At 48.3% G+C, this 21,501-nt stretch overlaps 1 protein-coding gene across 1 annotated transcript in view, besides 1 other annotated feature; it reads left to right on the top strand.

The window, feature by feature from the left end:
- The window catches only part of SHB (SH2 domain containing adaptor protein B), a 153,330-nt gene that overhangs the window by 70,653 nt on the left and 61,176 nt on the right, over window positions 1-21,501 (top strand). The window lies entirely within an intron of this gene.
- Window positions 396-897: an enhancer, noted in NCBI's record as "H3K4me1 hESC enhancer chr9:37997675-37998176 (GRCh37/hg19 assembly coordinates)". NCBI's record gives its function as "activates a minimal SCP1, AML or CMV promoter by ChIP-STARR-seq in naive H9 embryonic stem cells {active_cell/tissue: H9 hESC(naive)}" and the evidence as "EXISTENCE:reporter gene assay evidence [ECO:0000049][PMID:30033119]".

The raw sequence follows: 21,501 nt of genomic DNA, 5'->3' as shown, positions 1-21,501 counted from the left end.
AGGCTGAGGCAGGAGGATTGCTTGAGCCCAGGAGGTGGAGGTTGCAGTGAACTGAGACCGTGCCACGGCACTCCAGCCTAGGTGACAGAGCCAGACCCTGTCTTTAAATAAATAAACAAAATAGGATTTTGAGACCATCAGAACATGTGCTTTCCTGGATTTGAAAACAGGCGATGCAGAGACCATGTATCTGGCCCTGAGGGTGGTGGGGGAGGTTGTGAGTCTCTGGGGCGCCTGCAGTTCTGGGAAGTTTACCGTTTATGGAGTCCTTGGTGGTCAGGAAGCCCAGGCCAGCAGGATAGCGGTCCAGCTCAGTACTGTGTTGGGGCCCTGGCCCTAGTGCTTCCCTCCCTCCTCCCTCCTCCCTCCAAGCTGCCTGCTCCCGGCCACTGGTGCCTTGGAATCGTAACTCAGAGCTCAGAGCAACAGGAATGCTGTAAATCCCCGTCGCGCTCCCCTTTACAAGCAGGCAGTTGGGCACGGCGGCACTTTACAAGAGAAAGCAGCTCCACCACAGCAGAATGCAGCAAGTGCCTGTCACACGGGCTGTCCTGCCACTGCCTCTGCTTGCTCGGTTGGACACAGTGGGTACCACAAGCCAGGAAGAAGCATCACTCTTGTTCATCCCCATCCCATCCCAGGGCCCTCTGCCCCTTAGCAGGGTCTCCTCCTGGGCCTCAGGCCCCCAGGGCCTTGTTGTCCTTTCTGCCACTTGCCCTTGTCACACAGTGAGAAGCTGCTGTCGCCCTGGACAGCTGTTGTTTGATAAGCTGGCCATCTGCCCTGGGGTGATGGAGCAGAGTGCCTCGGCCTCCGTGTCTCTGTGATGTGAGAGGTACAGGGTTCCAGTCCTGAGGTGGTGGAGCTGGACAGCCCAGAAGGCCAACCACAAAGATGAGATAACTTGGGGTAGCAGTACTTTAGGAGTTTTGCCCACTCTGCAGTCATTTTGTACCCTCCTGTGCCAGCTTCTACACTGGGCGTCCAGAGATTGACATAAATGAGATCCAAGCCCCAGTGGATGTGGACTCAGGTCTGACATGTCTTGGGCTTTACTTTGCGCTGTGGGGACCTCCACAGAGGTATTTCGATCACTCAGGTTCCAGGGGAAAAGGAGGCAGGAAAGGCTTCCAAGGAATTGGAGCTTGGCCTAAGTCTTAAAAGATGAGCAGGCCAGGAGGGAAGGGGCTGTCTAGGCAGCAGCCCAAGCTCAGACCTGGAGGAGAGGACTAGCTAGTGGCTCTGGGGACCCACCAGTGGTTTCGTAGGTGCTGAGCTGACACCTGAGTTGGGTCCTGAAGTTAACTCAGAGGTGGGTGTCATGTAGAGAAGAGGGAAAGGATGGCTTGCAAATGGAGATACAGCCTGTGGCCGGCATGGCTGCAGCTTCAAGAACTTACAGAGGGGAGACGTGGCTGCCAAGATGTTCGATGACTAGTTCATAAAGGGCTTTCTGAGCCCCCTAAGGGGCTTGGACTGTACCCACAGGACTATCTGGAGTTGTTGAACCTTCACCTGCTCCCACCCACCTCCTGCCTGTCAGCTTCCCATTTCCCTGACTCAGACTATTGAGCTCATTGAAATCCTCCTGACACCAGGCAGACACACAGATTGATCACATAGAGCCTCTGCTCTCAAACCTGGATCAAGCAAGAAAATTAGTCCAGGATAAGCCGGTAGATATGGAGAGTCACAGGGCAGTTAGAGCCAGCACTGGCAATGTCTTAAGGCCTTGGGTGATTAATTGACATGTGAATCAGACAGATAATTAGTGCTACATTGGGGTACCAAAGGGACAGAATTCTTCTCCAGGGTGATTAAGAGACTACAGTAGAAGGAGGGGAGATCTAGGCCCAACCTTGAATGCCTTTGGGTGTTGAATGAGGAGCTGAAAGAAAGGCCATTGCTGGGGAGGTGGGGACCAGCAGGCTCCAACCTTGGCCCAGAGCCAGCACATCAGTGGACACTCTGTGTCTGTCCAACATTAGGAGATGAGGAGCCAGTTGGTACTATAGAGATAAGGGCTTTAGACTCTCATCTAAGTGTTCATTGAATTACCAAATTTTTTTAAAGAACTGCTGCTTTATTTAGGCTCTGGGCTCCTATGTACATGATCACAGAATTCTGCACACGTACAGGCCTCAGGCCTGAGTTAAGGACCCTCCACCCAAGGGCTGGACAGGCTGCAAGGCTGTCCCAGCTATGTGCTATTTCTCCCTGTTGAGCAGGCTTCAACCATGAGTACCAGCTAAGCTCAGACTTTATGATCCAGGCGAGAAACAGGAAAGTTCATCCTGGGTGTGAGGGAAGGGGAGGGGTTCAGATGCTCCTGAAAGTGGAGTCGCTTCATGCAGCCTGTGGACAGATGGCCTGGTGGCTTCCTCAGCAGGCTGCCCTGTGTCCACTCCCACCTGCAGACCCTGGCTGACTACGGGCACACAGAATGGCTGCAGTCATTTCGGCTTGGACATTATTCAAAACCACCATTTCAGGTCATCCACCACATAGAAAAATCTCTACAAAGCACCCTGGTACATTTCATTTTAAACAGTGGGAGCTTTCTGGTGAACCCTGTAAGAGAAATTAGTTGCAAATTAAACCCCCAGGAAACAATGATTTGACCTATTGTATAGAATTGTTGGGTGTAAGCCAATTGGATGTTCAAAGACACCTGCCTAAGATGGTGATTTGGGTCTCAGAGCAACTGATTTTAAACCCCTCTGGCAAACGTAAGGGAGTGCCGTCAAGTGTCTTCAGAACAGTGACCTTCTCTGCAGAATAGATGAGAATGATGGGAATCAGCCAGCATGGAATGAGGCCCCTGCAGGTGTTGGGGGCTTTCTGGATAAGTTTGTCGAGCACCCTTGGTCTCATTGCTCCCTCTGCCCCCTAATATTCCTTCTGATATTAATATACATGACATTGACGGTGAGGAAAGCAAGCTAGGAAGGAGGCTCCCCGCTAGTGGAGGAGGAATGAGAGTGTAAGGACCTTTGGGGTGATGCAAGATTCAGTAGGGCCTCTGAGGTCCTGTGCTCCCCAGGCTTGGAGCACGCTGTGACCCAGGCTGGCCTGTGGAGGAGCATTTTTCCAGACTGACTGACAGTGGCCAGAGCTGGGAAAAGCAGGGCCTTCTCCCCATCAGCAGTGGGCAGGTGGCTGGAATATCAGGCCCAGAGGCCAGCAGGTATACACAGCAGAGGAGGGCTCGCGCTAAGAGGAGTTTAAAGATTCCTTGGGAGGGTGGGGTGGGACTTCCCCAGGAAAGTGTCCGCCTCTGTCTCACCAGGACAAGGATGAGTGGGATGAGCTGGAGCCTCAGCGGTCATGTGGCCTGTGGCTGGTGCCTCCCTCCGTCAGGGGACGTGAGTGAAATCTGAAGTGCGTGTCTGTGTGGTGGCAGCTGTAACGTGACAGCTGCCGCCCGCCTGCCCTTCCCCCAGCCTGTTCTCGAGTGAGGAAGCTTGTCTGGCAGCGCCAACTCAGCTGTCATCCCACATCAATTTTTGTAGGTTCCCAGCTAGTGGAAGAGTGCCAAATGCAAGCAGATGATATACTTAATGAAACACTCAGGAAGAACGTTTCAGTTCCAGATATTAAGGGTTTGTGTGTCATGTTGCTGAGCCCTGGAATCAGATCATGCCTTCTCAGCCTTGTCACAGAGTACAGGGCTCTTCCTTTTAGGGGTGAATGTAAAAAATATTTCACGGTGAGGTAGATGTTTATGCTATTGAAGGGCAGCATACATGACTGATATTATGAAAGAAAAAAAAACGAGAAGTCTTCCCCATGTGGACATAAACCGATTGACTGGTGAGTCATTTATACCAGATGTCAGCTAGAAGGAAGGTTGTGTGTCTGCGCACTCTATGTATATTCCTCATATGTAACATCTGCATGGGGTTTTATGGTTACAGGTCTCTTTTATATACCTTTTGTTTGGTTTTATTTTAAACAGCGCCATGAAATTGATATTAATATTCTCCCCACTCCACAACAGAGGTTGCCAAGTCTCTACTGGGGCAAATCGCTCCCCAGAGGGCATAGGCTGGTAGGCGGCAGAGCCAGGGTTTGAACCTAAGTCTCCCGAGTCCAGTTCCAAAATGAACTTACTGGTATTTGGAATTGCCAGTGTATTTCGTATGTGGAATCAAATGGGAAGTAATCAGTCATTTGAGTTACATTTGCATTTATTCTAACCTGATCAAGTTGGAATGAGGGATGGGACAGAAGAGAATAATATTTATATGCACGGTGCTCTTCATTGGTTACTCTTTCATATCTACTGACTTATTTGACTTTTGAGGAGCTGGAAGCAGAGAGAAGTTGGAGGATTTGCTGGGGTCACACAGCTTGGAGTGGCCAGCTGAGAGTCCATTCCAGATCTCATGGTCACTTTCTACTCTCTCACATTGCAGTGTTGCTATAACCATCTATAAAGTAACAAAGGGATAATATGAAAAAGGGTGATTCTGTAAGTAAATGAACCACTGAGGTCAATCAGCCGCCTATGGTTCCATTATTTTGCAGACAAGGAAGCTGCAAAGGAGACGGGGTGCTGTCTGGGGTCTCCCAGCAGCAGCTGGGGCCAGGCTTCTGACTCTAGCCATGTTCCACCCATTGCCGTCCTGGGTCTCAGCTTCAGGCAAGTCTTCACAGTCTAAGTTTTTTGTAGGTCTTTGAGCCAATAGACAGGAATGCTCTTGGAGTTGATCTCAGTTCTGTATCGTCAGCTTCCTATTTAGAAGAGAACCTTAAAATTCCAAAGTTCAGGTAACTCCTCCCTGCCAAGTGAGACTGTAAGCTCAGGCTTATATCAAAAATTCCGTATTTCTCAACGGTGAAGTCCACATTTACACTCCCAGTTATTTTTAGGTGGGAACTTTATATTTTCTTTTTTTTTTTAAGGGAGAATAAATTAACAAATATATGTTTAACTTACATTAACACAAACTCAATGTTTATGTTAACATAAAGAATAGGATTTCTTCATTGTAATTTCTTTTTATTATTATTATTATACTTTAAGTTCTAAGGTACTTGTGCACAACGTGCAGGTTTGTCACATATGTATACATGTGCCATGTTGGTGTGCTGCACCCATTAACCCATCGTTTACATTAGGTATATCTCCTAATGCTATCCCTCCCTGGGAACTTTATATTTTCTGTTTCATATCACATTGGCTTCCCTGCCTAACTGAGGTTATATTTTCTGTCTCACAATAGTGTTGGAGCAGCCTTATTTTTAGCTCAGTTCGTTTTTCTTCCTGTGACTTCCTTTTTCTTGTTTAACACACACACGCGCACACACATTCAAGTAGGCATCCGTTCCCATCGCACTCTCCCTGCCAGTTCTCATTCACTTGGTCACAAGACTTCATCCAAAAGGCAAGTGTTAAGCCTCATCTCATTCCAGGAAAAAAGGAAGAGGAAGAGCCTTCAGCAAACCTCAAGAATCTTCTTGTAACATAGGCTGCTGCTTGTCATTTTATTAAAATCTCTTCACCTGTCGCTCACCTCGCCTGCCGCTAACTCCTGGCTGAGACACTCTCATGTGCACAGCTGATAAGAAATGCTTTGGAGCTCCCTTGCAGAGAAACCTATTGACTGCTGTTGGGGGCATGTTCTCAGGAGCTTGGGTATCAGGCTCCTAGAGGGCCTAGAGTGTGAGACTGTGTGTGTGTGTGTGTGTTTGTGTGTGTGTGCATGCATATACGTATATGGTGCTCACCAGACCCTGTTTCTATCTCTGATACCTGTAGCATTTGATTCTGGTGGCAGGCACCCCATGGAGAGCACTTGCCTGTGGTCCTGTGGTTGATGATCCTTGTTGGTGCTGTCTAGTTCATTTACACCATGCTGTATGGTGGCAGGCCACCGGTGAGAATCCAGTCTAAAATGTTAGGAAACAGGCCAGGGGAACACGACTTACCCAGCCCCCTGCATGGGATAAAGTACGGGGCAGACCCCAGGCCCCTGCTCACCCCGAGTCTTCCTCAGAATCCTTCAGTGGCTCCCTGTTGCCCCTCCACTGAAGTGTAAGCCTCTTTAGCCTAGTGGTACTTGAGCAGGTGACACACTTACCTAGCCCCAAAGAAGACCACGTTTTTAGGCCATGAGCTTCTCTAAAGCTGGACCAGGTTTTTATTTATTTTTTATTTTTATTTTTTTGAGATGGAATTTCGCTCTTGTTGCCCAGGGTGGAATGCAATGGCGCGATCTCAGCTCACTGCAACCTCCGCCTCCTGGGTTGAAGTGATTCTCCTGCCTCAGCCTCCTGAGTAGCTGGGACTACAGGCGACCACCACCACACCTGGCTAATTTTTGTATTTTTAGTAGAGACGGGGTTTCACCATGTTGGCCAGGCTGGTCTCGAACTCCTGACCTCAGGTGACCCTCCCACCTCGGCCTCTCAAAGTGCTGGGATTACAGGTGTGAGCCACCGTGCCCGGCTGGACCAAGTTTTTATTGTTCAGTGTTTTCCCATAAAACAGCAACACAGGTGCTCCGGAGGGGAGGAGTGGAAGAATGAACTAGTGAAGTGATATGTTGTATCTGGACCTCCTCCTTTACCTACTCTAGCCACTAGTCACCAGAAGCATGTTTCTGGTGTGGGAGCCTGGGACCCCATGTTAATCTGTGGGAAAGAACCTGTCGTGGTGCTGCCTGTAACCCCTTCAGATCCCTCAGTGAGGCGTAGCCTCTTCTGACAGGGTGTCTGACCTCCTTCACTCCCAAGCACACCTTCCTTCACAGAGCACAGCCTGTGGGTTATCATCCATCTCAGTTTGGTTTTTGGTTCAGAGCTTTGCTGATCAAAATTGGGTGATGGGCATCACTTTGCCTTGTGACTTAGAGGGTATCAAGCTTCCAGGAGAGTGGGGCCCTTTGCAGTGAAACCATGGGTCCCAAAAAGTCATTAGGCCTGTCCTTGTAGCTGTGTTTTTAGGGAAATCTTTCATCATTTCCTGTGCTGAGACCATAACTATGGTTCTTTAATAATCGAGTACCTCTGTGGATGACCAGGGTCATGTTTGGGGGAATGTTATAATTAAAATGTACATCTTGGAGTTGAAAACCAATACATAATTTGTTCCAAACTTAATTTCCTAAACTTCAAAATGTATAAACATTACATGAAGTGAAAATTGTTTAGAAATACTCTTGAATGCAGAAGCCCATTTCACTGGAATATTAAGTAGAAGTTGATGGAATTCCATGACGCAGTGTCCCTGAAAGCGTGGAGCCCTGAGGAGAGCGTGCACAGACTCTGATCAGAGAAGCGGAGGTGGGAAATTCTAGCCCTGCCATACCAGCTCAGGTATCTGCCCTCTCAGTCTCAGCCTCAGTTTCCCCATCTGTCCTAGGGGTTAATGTAGAACTCCTGGCACTGTGCCTCGTTCCACATAGACCCTCAACAAGTGCTGTCACAGATATTGATAATATCAAACAGGAGAGTCTTCATGTGCCACATTTGCAACTTCCTTTTAAAATTTTAATTATCACATTAGGTAATATGTGCTCTGAGTAAGAAGATTCAGCATACAGGCTTATAGGAGGTAAAAAGTGAAATCTCCCTCCCGAGACAAGGATTGTTAATAATTTATGTATTCTTATAGCCCTTTTCCCATTTGCTTACAAAAATACACATCTGTGCGTATCTACAAACACAGTTTTCTACATTAATTCTATCCTGCCAAACATTATTCTTTGTCACAGATCTTGTCTGAGGTCATTTGTTCTATTGAACGATTCCGTGTGACTGTAGCGTGATGTGTTCAGTTGTTTTCCTGTTCATAGACTTGTAGGTTATTCCTAGTTTCTGGTCCCTTCATTCTGGGCTCCCTTCATTCTGTAGCAAAATTTGTGAGCAGTTGTTTCTGCCTGTGGGTCTGGATATTTCTGTAGAGTAGGTTTCTAAAAGTGGAACTTTAGGCCACAGGATATTTACCTCTGAAAAGGGCATTTCCAGTTTATACTCCTCCAACAGTCTATGAGTACAGTTCCCTTTTTAGAATACACAAATTTTTTTTTAAACATTTGTTTTCTGTGCTAAATTCTGAATTTGCAAAAGGCTGTGTGTTTATGTTATTCCATTTCACCAGTATTTGCTGAGCATCTGTGGAGCTGGGTTCTGCTGTGGGAATCACAGGGGATGTGTTAAGTGGATTCGACTGGAACTTGACCCCCAGAGGTGGGGTGGGGTGAGCCTGAGCACGCAAAGGGCTAGAAAATGGTAGAAGCCTCAAGGCTCCCAGGGTGGAGGAGAGATGACAGTGGGAGTATTGGATTCATCTCTGAGCCCCTGTACCACCTCCAACACCCTTGACAGTTTAGAGTACCTGGTGCTCTAAACTGAACAGAGGCTGAGACTTGAAGCTGGAGCAGCAGCATGTCAGCAGGGCACCTAGAGGGGACTCCATTGGAACAGACCACCAGGGGAGATGAGGCCATCTCTACTCAATCAAGGTGCCTCCAGTCTCGTGTTCTGGAAGTTGATGACATCTTTCACACAGTCTGGAACCTCTTAAGGACGGCTTTTCAGGGCCCTGAGCAGGGGCTATTCTCGTTTCTTCCAGCACAAAAATGTTGATTATCCAGATGTTTCCTTCCACATAATTCTTGGGATGGTTGTGTGGATGGTGTCATCTATAATAGCTATTGACAGGAAAGAGCTGCCTGAGAGGAATTTTGAATAGTGGCAACTTTCAGGTTCCTGGCTCTTGTGCATGGCATCCCACACACACCTTTTCCTTCCCCACTCCTCTTTAAAACAAAAGCGAAAACAGCAACAACAACAACACTTTAATAGGGTTTTATGTGCTGTAACACCAAGAAATACAAGAAGTGACGTTAGAGTTGGAAAGGCCATCAGGGTAGGAAGTGGAGACATAGTAACTGTGCCGACCGCTCACTCTGTGACTTTGGCAAGGCCCTTCAATTTTGAGTTTCCCGTTTCCCCACTTAAATGGAGTTGCCGGCTCTGTCTGCAATCAGGTGGTTACAAGAACCAAATAATGCAAAGGGTTTTGTGGACCTTGAAGTGCTATATGGAAGGAGGGAGTCTTGCTGTTAGTCCTTTTTGTTAAATTTTGGTTGACCCCTGGCAGGTGATCGCTCCTGGGCCAGGTAGGAAGTCCCACCAAGATCCTTGGGCTCATGGTGGCTTTGCTACTGTCAAGTCTCCTGAAGGAAGAATTGCAGGTCCTCTTAGGGAACTGCTATTTGGCTGCATGCCTCGTTCTTTGGGGTCAGGAGAAGGGGCAGACGGATCCCTCTGTATTGTGATAAAGATAATTCCTCATAGACTTGACTTTGAATTGATCCAGTCTTTGCAGGACCTTTGTTTCCTAAGAAGAGAAACAGACAAGCAGCTAGTCTAAGGACCACGTTCTGGACATGTGGGGAAAGGGCTGTCCATAGAGGCATGTATTAGGGTTCTCCAGAGAAACAGAGCCAATAAAATGTGTGTGTGAGAGAGAGTGTGTGTGTGTGTATGTGCATGTGCAGAGAGATTTATAAAAAAAAAAATGGATCATGTGATTATGAAAACTGCCAAGTCCCAAAATTTGTTGGTAAGTTAGTAAGCTGGAGACCCAGGAGAGCCAGTGGTTTAGTACCAGTCCAAGACTAAAGGCCTGGGAACCAGGAGAGTCAATGATGTAGTTCAAGTCTGAAGGCAGGAAAAAGGCTAATGCCCCAGCTCAAAGGCAGTCAGGCAGTAGAGTTCTCTCTGACTCGGGAGAAGGTCCACCTTTTTGTTCTATGCAGGCCTTCAACTGATTGGATGAGGCCCACCAACAAGGAGGGGTGTGCAATCTGCACTATTCAGTGTACTAATTTAAATGTTGATGTCATCCAGAAACACTCAGAATAATATTTGACGAACTATCTGGGCACCCCATAGGACAACCATGTTGACACATAAAAAGAACCATCCCAGGCAGGAAAGCACAGCTTTGTGTATGGAAGAGAAGCTTGTCGGTGGGCAGAGTTCTTGTTGCATGTAGTGGTCGGATTTTGGAGGCATTTGCTGGAAGGTGGTCAGGATGCCAGGTCAGCGTCCAACATGCTAGTAGGATGGGTGCTCTTGACAGGTCCCCTTCCACCTTAACTTGATGGAGCCACAGCATTAGCAAGTTACAAGAAGAAGCCGGTGTGAATATCCACTCTTTGTAGAAGCAGACTGAGAAACTCTGGAGTCAGAAAGGCCTCTGAGATCATCTGGTTCAACCCCTCTCACCTCATCTGCGAGGAATATTAGCCCTGATGGATCAGGCAGCTGGCCAAGGTCACACAGCTGGTGAGCGGGGAGCCAGGCTGGTCCCAGGCTGGCAGCCTCGTCATTGTTATCCAGAAGGCAAAGGTTGTCTCTCAGTCCCTGGGGGGATTAGTGCCTCTCTTGAAGCAGTTCCAAAGTGAAGAAGGGTGGGCAGAGCATGTGCCAAGATCTCAGCAAGTTGCTTCCGCAGGGGCAGCTGTGCTGGGCACTGGGCACATTGTCAACAGCACCCCTCAGCTTGAGGCAGTGACCCTGTGACGCCCCAGGTATACAGGTGGGGCTACTTTGGTTGGGAAGGCTGGCATGTGGTGAGGGGTACCTCAGCCCAGGTGACCAGGGCCCCCAGGGTATATAGGTAGAGGGGAAGGTCCTCCCCAGCAGAGGACCCTGGCTCTACTCTAGGCAGCTGGCACCCTGCCCCCACTACCAGTTTGTAATCACTAAGCACCAGCCAGGCCGGCACCAGCAGCCTGTGTTGGCCGCCCCTCTGACGCATCTAGAATGTGCTGAATACCTCCTTGGTGGGCCACTCTCTTCCTCGTGATACCACCCCAGGCTTTCCTCCCAGGCCCCCCAACCATGATGAATCCTGTAGGGACTTGTATGTGGTCAGATAAACCTCAGGGCTAGAGGGCAGGGAGCCTGAGATTACTCCAGTGACCCTGACTGATGACCAACTGACAGCCAGAGGGAGGAAGCGACTTGCCTGGTGTCACTCAACCTTGTGGGATCCGGACAGAGCTGGAGCTGGGACTGGGCTCTTCAGTGCCTGCCTTCCTTGCTGACCTGAATGTGTCCGTGTTCTTTTGTCCCTAGTGGAGTGGAGGGAACACTGACTTGGGCTGGAAAGGCACTGTAGATAGCTGCACAGTTAAGGACATGGACTTTGGAGCCAGACTGCTTCCATCCCTTCCTCGCTTGCCCTGTGGCTGTCCATAAAATGGCAGTGTCTGTGGGGTACCACCTCATGGGGTTGTCTTGAGAGTTAAACGAGAAGCTGGATGGCATGCACTTAGCAGACTCCAGCACGCAGTGTTCCTAGAATGGTGATTACTGCACTATTGACAATTGAGTTTTTGCGATGTTGGCCCAACCACTGAGCTTGTCTGAGCTGTGGACTTGGCAGCAGTCAGGCGGGGAGGGGCCTGGCTGCACCACAGCCCCTCTGAGGTTCGCTCTGTGAGGTTCTGTGAGAGCTGCAGGTGAAGCCACTTGGTGAGCAGGGAAGCCCCCACAGGGTAAGGGGTATAGCCGTGACTGGTCTGGCGTGAAAGCCTGTCCCCTATGGCTTTACCTCATTAGAGTGTGGCCCCAGGCCTCTCTGGAGGCAGAGACCGCACCGTGCCCAGCAGACTGGAAGATCGCGTGTGTGGGGCGCTGGCCCTTCGTGCAGCTGTGGTCTGTCGATACTCAGAAGGAACAAGCTGGGACGCACATCTGCCTGTGTGTGCTGCAGCCCTGTGAAGTCCCTGCTGGGCCCTGGCTCTCTGCAGCACAGGGGCCCCGGGGATGCCCGCCCTGTCATGGTTGGCCTGAGGATGCTGATGCCACCCGTGCTAGCCCAGCCCCTGCTCATCATCCCAGTGGATATGCCAGCATTTCCACATCTGGGGGCTGTTCACAGGAGTGTGTTTTGCTTTCTGGAGCCCTGGGCATCTTCTGCCCACTTCTTGAAAGGGTGGAGCCCTAGTTGTTTGGAAGGCCCAACCTTCAGATTATCAGTGTCTAGTTACCACATCCCCATGTGTCCTGCCAGCTTCTTAAAGGATTTTGTGTATGTGAAGCACAAACCCAATGAAGGCTCCTGGTCCACCTTTCCCAGTTTCTTGCCTTTAGTGGCTGCACCCCTAGTCCTGGCATCCCAGATCCTCCATAGCTGGCCCCACCTTCTGTGGGGGCCATTCCCTGTTTCCTTCTACCTCATGAGCATTAGGCTTAAGGCAGCAAGAACCCTGATTTTCACCTCAACATCCCCCAGCTTTCCTCTCTCCCAAACTTGGTTTATGCTTGTCCTGCCCCAGTTGCCCTTTGTCCTGATGGCCTCATCGTCCTCTCCTGGAGAGCCTTCTACACCTGGGCCCACTCCTCGCTGTTTGTGACACCAGGCAGGGTCCGTTGGCATCCCTGGCCCTCAAGGTGTCTCCTTGCATCAGGACTTGAGATTCTGTGAAATGCCACATCCTCCCTGAAGTTTTACTGAATCCTAGGGCTAGATTTCCTTTCTGCCTCCATCAAGCTGCTGGTACATACACCACTCTAGGACGCTGGGAGCCAGGCAGAACTAGGCTTGTCCTGGCTTAGCCTCTGCTCCTGTCTGAACCTCAGTTTCTGAATTATAAAATGCAGTATAACTCTTGCCTCTCTGTTTTGAGGATGAGGAGTAATTTACTCCCAGTGCCCAGGACACAGGACAGTGCCTGGCGCAGGCAGGCGCTCACTGCTGTCCAACTCAGCGCTTACAGACGGTGGTGTCCCGATTCTCCTGCTAAGCCATGAGTTCCCTAGGAGGCAGGACCCTCATCTAATGCATCTAGTGCTCAGCATCTGGCCTCAGGTCTAATGTGGCACATAGTAGGGGTTCAGTGGGTATTCGAGGAAGAAAAACAGGCACCCCACTTGCCTATGAAGTTGGATGTTGCAGTCGGCGAGGATTTAGAAAGCAGTCTCCTAAGTAGACATGGCTCCTTTAAAGGGAGGCCCACTCGCCCCCTGCTTTTGGCCCCCAGAGCAGCAAGCTCGCCTCAGTGAGTCTCCACGGGGGATGGCGCCAGAACGCAGGCCTGCAGCGGCTTAGAGGCCTCCGCACGCAAAGGCAGTCACTGGAAGATGCAGAGTGATGGTAGGGCTAATGGACACTGTGGATCATTGCAGAGCTGCACGGCAAGGTCCACGTGGCCTTTTTACTCACAATGAAAGCAATTGGTCGTCATCAGGTTTGCAGGCTTTGTCTCTCTTCGAGTACTTCAGGCCAGAGGGGCTCATGAGAAGACCCTGTCCTTGTACAGACAACCAAGGGAAGGGAGCAAACCCAGGCACCCTGACTCCAGACTTGGGCCTTTCCCTTGCCCTCAGGCTGAGCATAAAAGATCAGGCAGTACAGGTTCAGCCAGGCAGCCATAGGCCCTGCTCTGCTCCTAAGGTGACCATTGTTGTCCCACAGCCCTGCTTCCGCAGAGCCCACCCTCTGTTGGTTGGGTGTTTCTGTGCATGCCTGGAAAAGAGATGACAGAAGAACTCCAATTAGTCAGTCTCCTGGCTCCTAGACAGCTCCGGAAACTAGACTAGATAGATGAGGAGGAGGTGGGGCCTCCTGCCGTGTGACGGTTGGGGTGGCTCCAGCTCCGTCTCTGAGCTGCCCTGCCCTGCCTTGCCCTTGCCGTCCTGCAGCCCTGCTCTTCCATGCCACTCACCCTCAGCCTCTGAGGGACCCCTGAATTCAGACGTTGAAGCACCCTGGTTAGGGGGAGGATTCTTCTCCAGCAGACGTTTGAATGGTTTAGATGGGGGTAAAGTCACCTCCCTTTTGATGTGGCACCTGGAACTTGGCTGGTTTTGCGGCGTGTCTAATTAGGAAGAACCGCCTGGCACTCCCGCAGAGCTCATCGCTCACTCCGTGGTGCCAGGTGTGCTTTTAACACCTCAGGGACCTGACTGCAATAGACGCCCTGGCCCCAGAAGACCAAAAACAAGACAGACTGATTTAAAAAAAAAATGTCAGAAAGTGTCTGGAAAAGGCCAGGAGAGCCCTGGTCCAGGAGTTAAGGAGCCTGGGGCCTAGTCCCTGTGACTTTCTTCCCTTCCCCTGACCTCAGTTTCCCCATCTATAAAATGGGGTGACTAGACATACATGAGACCTTCCCTGTGTGTTTCACGTTACGTACAAGAGCTGACCTAGAGTATGGCTCCTATGTGGGGGTGTCAGATTATCAAAGTGGCACTGGCCTCGGGAGTTGTGGACCCAGAAATGGCAACAGGCTCAAAGGTTGGTATTGGGACCCTCCCGTTCCCAGTGCATTTTTGGCCTGTGAGGCTTCAGTCAGCAGGCCTTCTGTGGCTCTGTGGGCAAAGACAGCCTTGGAGGAGGAAGAGTCTTGGAGATGGGGCTCCAAGGAAGCCCCCAGGAGTGGTCGTTGAAATGGCAATATTCACAAAACGCCTTCTGTGCACCAGGCACTGTTCGAAACACTTGACGTATATGGATTCATTTAATCCTCGTAACATCCTTCCTCCAGTGGGTGCCGTTTTCTCCCCTCTAGAGATGAAGAAACTGAGGTAACTTGCCCCAGGTCACCTGTTGGAGCCAGGATTCAGACTAAGCACTCTAGTGGGATCGGTGTTTTCACCCAGCACACAGTGCTGCTATGCCTGTCGGTTCACCTGGACCCAGGGCTTTGCCTCCCTCCAGGTGGTTGGCGAGGGGCAGCCCCGCTAAGTGGCAAGTGCATCATTCCAGTAATGCAGCCCTTCCTGACACCGCTGGGGCCCTGAGCCTAATCTACCTGCAACCCTGGCGTCTCGGGCACGGATCCCCGGTGGCTGCAAAGCCATGTGAGAGAGATCAGATGGCATGCCTACCACTGGCAGAATAGAGGTTTCCTGGGTTGAGAGGTAGTGGCAGGGCCTGGGAGTGGAGAGCCATACAACTCTACCTAGCTTGCTACCCCATGATTAGGGAGTGGTATGGATTCCCAGACAAGCCCAGCTGGGAAAATTAGAGGTGAAGGGCCTGCAGGCCAGCGTCTATCATTTCCAGCAAGGCTCCTGCACGTCTGTGCCAGCCTGTGTCCTGCCCAGCTCCTCCCTGCCCAGAGGTTCCTGGGCATCACTCCTTTACCACTCCTGGGGGTGCTGCCATGCAGTACTTTTAAGGCCATCCAGAAACCCACTTCCATCTGCCTCCAGCATCATCTCCCACCAGGTACCTGTCAGTCCCCAGCCCTCTCGAGCAACCTCATGTACACCTTAAGCTTTTGACTCCCTGGGCCTCTGCCTTGGTTCTTCCTCTGGTACCCATTTTCGCCGCCACATCACTGTGCTATGACCTCCTGTCTAAATTCTTTTAAGGCCCTCCCAGGTTCCCCCAATGGAAACCTGTCTCTTAGTTATCAGATTGTGGTATCAAGTCTGCTCCCATTAAGGAGGCTGAGCTGTGTCTGTCCCTGTTGGGAGCTCTGCCTTCTCCTACCAAGAGCTTCATGAAGGCCAGGACTGCATCTCATTCCTCTCTGTCTCCTCTCATACTGGGCATTCAGTAGATAGTTGGTTGGTTGGGAGGACAGGTGGATGCCAGCACAGCTGGAAAAGATGGAGGGGGGGGCACCAGAGAGGCCTGCTGATTTCCTTGGCCTCAGTTTTCCAGCGAGCAAACCCAGGCCTTTTTTTTCTATTCCTGAAGAGAAGGTAAAGAAGTAAAGAACAGGTTTCTTCTGATGTTTACCATAAGACATGTTATGTATCATTTCATTAGATGCTTATTCTTTTTTTTTTCTTTGAAACAGAGTTTTGCTCTTGTTGCGCAGGCTGGAGTGCAATAGCGTGATCTTGGCTCACCACAACCTCCGCCTACCAGGTTCAAGTGATTCTTCTGCCTCAGCCTCCCGAGTAGCTAGGACTACAGGCGTGTGCCACCACACCTGGCTAATTTTTTTTTTCTTCTGTTTTTAGTAGAGACGGGGTTTCACCATGTTAGCCAGGATAGTTTCAATCTCCTGAACTCATGATCCGCCCGCCTCGGCCTCCCAAAGTGGTGGGATTACAGGTGTGAGCCACTGCACCCGGCCTACTTATCCATTTTTTTTGAGACGGAGTTTTGCTCTTTTGCCCCGGCTGGAGTAAAGTGGCGCAATCTCAGCTCACTGCAACCTCCGCCCCCTGGGTACAAGCAATTCTCCTGCCTCAGCCTTCCCAGTAGCTGGGATTATAGGTGCCCACCACCACACCCCTCTAATTTTTGTATTTTTAGTAGAGACGGGGTTTTACCATGTTGGCCAGGCTGGTCTCGAACTCCTGTCCTCAGGTGATCCACCCCCCTTGGCCTCCCAAAGCGCTAGGAGTACAGGCGTGAGCCACCACATCTGGCCCATCTTCTTTCAAAATACAGATTTTGAGACTCTCCATAATAAAATGTTTAGGCATACTTCATTTTATTGTGCATTGCTTCATTGTGGTTTGCAGGTATTGCATTTTTTTTTTTTTTACAAAATGAAGGTTTGTGGCAACCTTCCTTCAAGTAAGTCTATCAGCATCATTTTTCCAACAGCGTGTGCTCATTTTGTGTCTCTGTGTCACATTTTGGTAATTCTCATATTTCAAACCTTTTTATTATTATAGCTGTTACGGTGACCTGTGATCAGTGATCTTTGATGTTACTGTTGTAATTGTTTTGGGGCACCACAAACTGCACCCACAGAAGATGGCGAACTTAATAAATGTTATGTGTGTTCTGACTGCCCCACTGACTGACCATTCCTTCATCTCTTCCCCTCTCCTTGGGCCTCTCTATTCTGTAAAACACAACAATGTTGAAATCAGGCCTATTAATAATTCAACAATGGCCTCTACATGTTCAAAGGAAAGGGAGAGTCACACATCTCTCACTTTAAACCAAAATCTTGGAAATAAGCCTAGTGCAGAAGTCATGTCAAAAACCGAGATCTGCCAAAAGGTAGGCTTCTTGCACCGAATAGTTAGCCAGGTTGTGGATGTAAAGGAAAAGTTGAAGAAAATTAAAAGTGTCACTCCTGCGAATACACAATTGAAAAGAAAGCAAAACAGCCTTGTTGCTATTAGAGAGAGAGTTTGGTCTAGATAGAAGCTCAAACCAGCCACAAATTCCCTTAAATCAAAGCCTAATCTGGAGCAAGGCCCTAACTCTTCAATTCTGTGAAGGCTGAGAGAGTGGAGGAAGCTTCAGAAAAGCTAACAGAGGTTGATTTCTGAGGTTTAAGGAAAGAAGCCATTTCCATAACATGGAAGTGTGTGGTGAAGCAGCAAGTGCTGATGTAGAAACTGCAGCAAGTTATCCAGAAGATCTAGCTGAGGTCATCGATGAAGGTGGCTATGCAAAACAACAGATTTTCAGTGTAGACAAAGCAGCCTTCTATTGGAAGAAGATGCCATCTAGGACTTTCAGAGCCATAGGGAAGTCAATGCCTGGCTTCAAAGCTTCAAAGGACAGGCTGCCTCTCTTGTTAGGGACTAATGCAGCTGGTGATTGTAAGTTGAAGCCAGTGCTCATTTGCCATTCTGAAAAATCCTGGAGCCCTTAAGAATTATGCTAAATCTACCCTGCTCGTGCCCTGTGAATGGAACAACAAAGCCTGGATGGCAGTTCCTCTGTTTACAGCATGGTTTACTGAATATTTTAAGCCCACTTTTGAGACCAACTTTAAGGAAAAAAAGATTCCTTTAAAGATACTACTGCTGATTGACACTGTTCTTGGTCACCCAAGAGCTCAGCTGGGGATGTACGAGGAGATGAATGTTGTTTTCATGCCTGCTAACACAACATCCATTCCGCGGCCCATGGATCAAGGAGTAATCTCAACTTTGAAGTCTTATTATTTAAGAAATACATCTCATAAGGCTATAGCTGCCAGAGATAGTGATTCCTCTGATGGACCTGGGCAAAGTAAACTGAAAACCTTCTGGGGAAGATTTACTGTTCTAGAAGCCATTAAGTACATTTGTGATTCATGAAAGGGGTCAAAATAGCCACATTAACAGGAGTTTGGAAGAAGAGTCCAGTCCTCACAGATGACTTTGAGGCCTTCAAGACTTCAGTGGAGGAAGTAACTGCAAATATGATGAAAATAACAAGAGAACTAGCATTAGAAGTGGAGTCTGAAGATGTAACTGAATTGCAGGAATCTTATGATCAAACTTGAACAAATAAAGAGTTGCTTCTTATGGATGAGCAAAGACAGTTTTCTTGAGATAGAATCTATTCCTGATGAAGATGCTGGGAACATTGTTAAAATGACAACATAGGATTTAGAATAGTACATAAACTTAGTTGATGAAGCAGCAGCAGAGTTTGAAAAGATTGACTCCAATTTTGAAAGAAGTTCTGCCGTGGGTAAAATGTTATAAAACAGCCTTTCGCTAAGAGAAATCTTTCGTGAAAGGAAGAGTCAATCTATGTGGCAAATTTTATTGTCTCATTTTAAGAAATTCCCACAGCTGGGGGGAGGGGCATAAAAAATTTTCCACAGCCACCTCAGCCTTCAGGAACTACCACCCTGATCAGTCGGCAGCCGGCAACATCAAAGCAAGACCCTCCACCAGCAAAAAGATGACTCACTGAAGGCTTAGATGATTGTAAGCAGTTTTTGGCAATAAAATATTTTTAAAATTAAGGTTCTACATTTTTTTAAGGCAGTGGTATTGCACATTTAATAAACTACAGTATAATATAAATATAACTTTTGTGTGCATTGGAAAACCAAAAAATTTTACAGGTACCTGCCACCATGCCTGGCTAATTTTTGTATTATTAGTAGAGATGGGGTTTCACCATGTTGGCCAGACTGGTCTCGGACTCTTGACCTCAAGTGATCTGCCCACCTTGGCCTCCCAAAGTGCTGGGGTTACAGGCATGAACCACTGCACCCAACTTTGGTGGGGGGGCCTGTTTTTTTTGTTGTTGTTGTTTTTTTGTTTTTTTTTTTTCAGGGAGGCACTAAGTTGGTGAATACTGGAGCAGAGTATAGCTTGTTGCTTGTGGACTGGGCAATCTTTTAAACCCCCATCACATCCTCTCAGGATTACTGCCTGCTCTCTTCCCCAGCCCTTACCTTCTCCACATTCCCATGGGCAGACCCCGCCATGGCCGCAGTCTGTGGGGAGCACACCTGCCTAGCTCTCCTGGTGAATGGGCCCAGGCAAATTCTTAGGGTCCCTTTCAGTTCTAACATTCTCTGATTCTAAAGAAAGTGCTTTAGTCTTCTTTTCTTTCTATGTATGTAGTTCTGTTTACAAACCTTTCTGCTCCAGAGGTCAACAGAAACCCCCATCCTGTTAATGTTTCTGCTTTCTGCCTAAGAGGCATGAAATTACAGACTGCCACCTAATATTAAAGGTCATTTTGCATGAATGTGTAGATGCTGATGTTCAGATAACTTGTGACTTAAAACATATGGTCACAGACTCCCTTGTGAGATCGGTCTCTGGACCCTCATGGATTGGCCCAGCTAATAAGGAAGACGGGCCTGGTAGTTAGGCAGGAGGCAGCAACATCTGGCAAGCTGGCCTGGCACAAGGGCCTTCGATGTCCTGGAGCTGTTGGTGAGCCTCTCCCAGGAGAGAAGATGCTCCCAAATGGGCATTTTCTCAGGGAAAGGCAGCTGCTTCCTAAATACACGCAGCTCCTGGAAGCCCAGCCTGCTTAAAATCATATTTACTCTCTTTCATGTGCTCATCTTAATTACATTTTTTCTGCTCTAGTGTCTTTATTCATTATTTAAAACAACTTTCAAAAATAATTACGCGATAATCCCTTCTCCTCTACACAGTAGCTGTTTACCTTCCTGTATTGGGTTTTTCAGCTCTTGGTGTTGTGGATGTCTGTACTTACAACGTTGCTGTCATCACAGTGTAGATATAGGCCAAATCTGTGATGTCAGTATTTACCAATGCCCAGGCAAGGAGCAGAATTCCCTGTGGGGCCCTGCTCATATTGACGGAGACTTGTTTAAAAAGCCTGCGTTATACTTTGCCCCCCACACATAAACAATCTTGCATTTTACTTTTTAGCTTAGCATAATTTCTTGCATGGTTTCCCATGTCGCTACATAATCTTCAGATTGATCATTTTAATGGCTGCTTAATATTCCATCCAGTTAACATGCCATAATTTACTTAACTCTTCCCTATTGTTGGGGCCTTAATGAAAATTTGAATTCGCCATGTAATGTAGTGGGGGAGGCTTGTTTTAATGATTACCGTTATAACATCCCCTGCCCTAACTGCATGCCATTACTAGTCCAGCTTTGGTAAGGTGCAGATGCTTCTGGAACAATAAATCCTGCATGAGAGGTGTATGCACAAGTCCTCTGATTTAATAGCTAATCTGTTCACTGCACATGTTTCCCTTTAAGGCTGGTGTTTATGGAGAATATCTGTCTCTAATGCATATTGTTTAACACTAAACTGTATGCATTTGGCATATTGTCCCAGATCCTTTATCACTACTGTCAGGGACTTTCATAAAGTATCTGGAATTTGGGGGTAAATAGTGGTTTCTGGCTGTCAGTTCTGTTTCATTTATCCCACCACATTCACTGAGTATCTCTTTGGCGTGAGAGTGAGCAAAAGCACTCCTGATTATCAGGGGCCCGACGGGAAGTACATCTGTGAATTGTTTGTGGTTCCTTTAGATTAAATGGTGAATTGCATGAAAAGTACTTCATCAACTGTGTACATGGGAGTGGTTGCTGGTCCTGCTTTTGTGAAGGAGGGTGAAGAGGAAGGTGGTTTTCCCAGGTCAGTGCCTTCTCAGCTGCCGTATCCTCAGCCCCCAGAATTCTGCAGACAGGAGGCTAGACTTCACTCCTCAGAACGGAGGAAGACGAATACAGGTGATGAGGACCCTACAAGACAATAAGTTGCAGATTAGTTTGGTAGATTTAGTGATTTACGAAGTTGTCCACCGTACTTAACAGTTGGTCTTCACCGTAAAGTGACAAAGTCCTACCACTCTTTTCCCTTCTCTTTTCCTGTTCCTCCCTCGGTAAAAAAAGGAAGCATCATCCTCAAAACTAATAAATGATCCGAGTTTACTCATGGGACCCAATAAAAGCTGTGTTTGCCAAAGTGTGGGACACCTTCTCATAGATGTGATATTAGGTGCCCTGAGAACTACATAGTGAGAAGGTTTTTCCCTTCTTATTCTCTCTCTTTCCAGGGAGAGAAGATTATTCATATTTGCCAGAGAAAGTGTCTGTTTGCTGATTGCATTTCCCGGTGGCTCTCCAACACTTGCAAATCTCACCTCTCAGCAGAGAAAGCAAGCCCCACGCTCAGCTTCCCAGCAGGCATCAGCACCTACCTTGCTGGTTTTTATTCATTCTGCTTAGTATCTATTTTTGGCAAAGAATAATGGCTTATGGGATGGTGATCCAAAGTCTCTTTTTTAAATGAGTTTATTTTATCTAAAAAGTGAGGCGAGATAAATAAAAATGATAAGTAACCACCCAGGTTACTACCACCCAACTGGTA

Source organism: Homo sapiens, chromosome 9 (assembly GCF_000001405.40).
Source record: "Homo sapiens chromosome 9, GRCh38.p14 Primary Assembly".
NCBI classification, from domain to species: Eukaryota; Metazoa; Chordata; class Mammalia; order Primates; family Hominidae; genus Homo; species Homo sapiens.
Note: the sequence above shows the minus strand (reverse complement) of the source record. Positions and strands in the feature narration are given on the sequence as shown.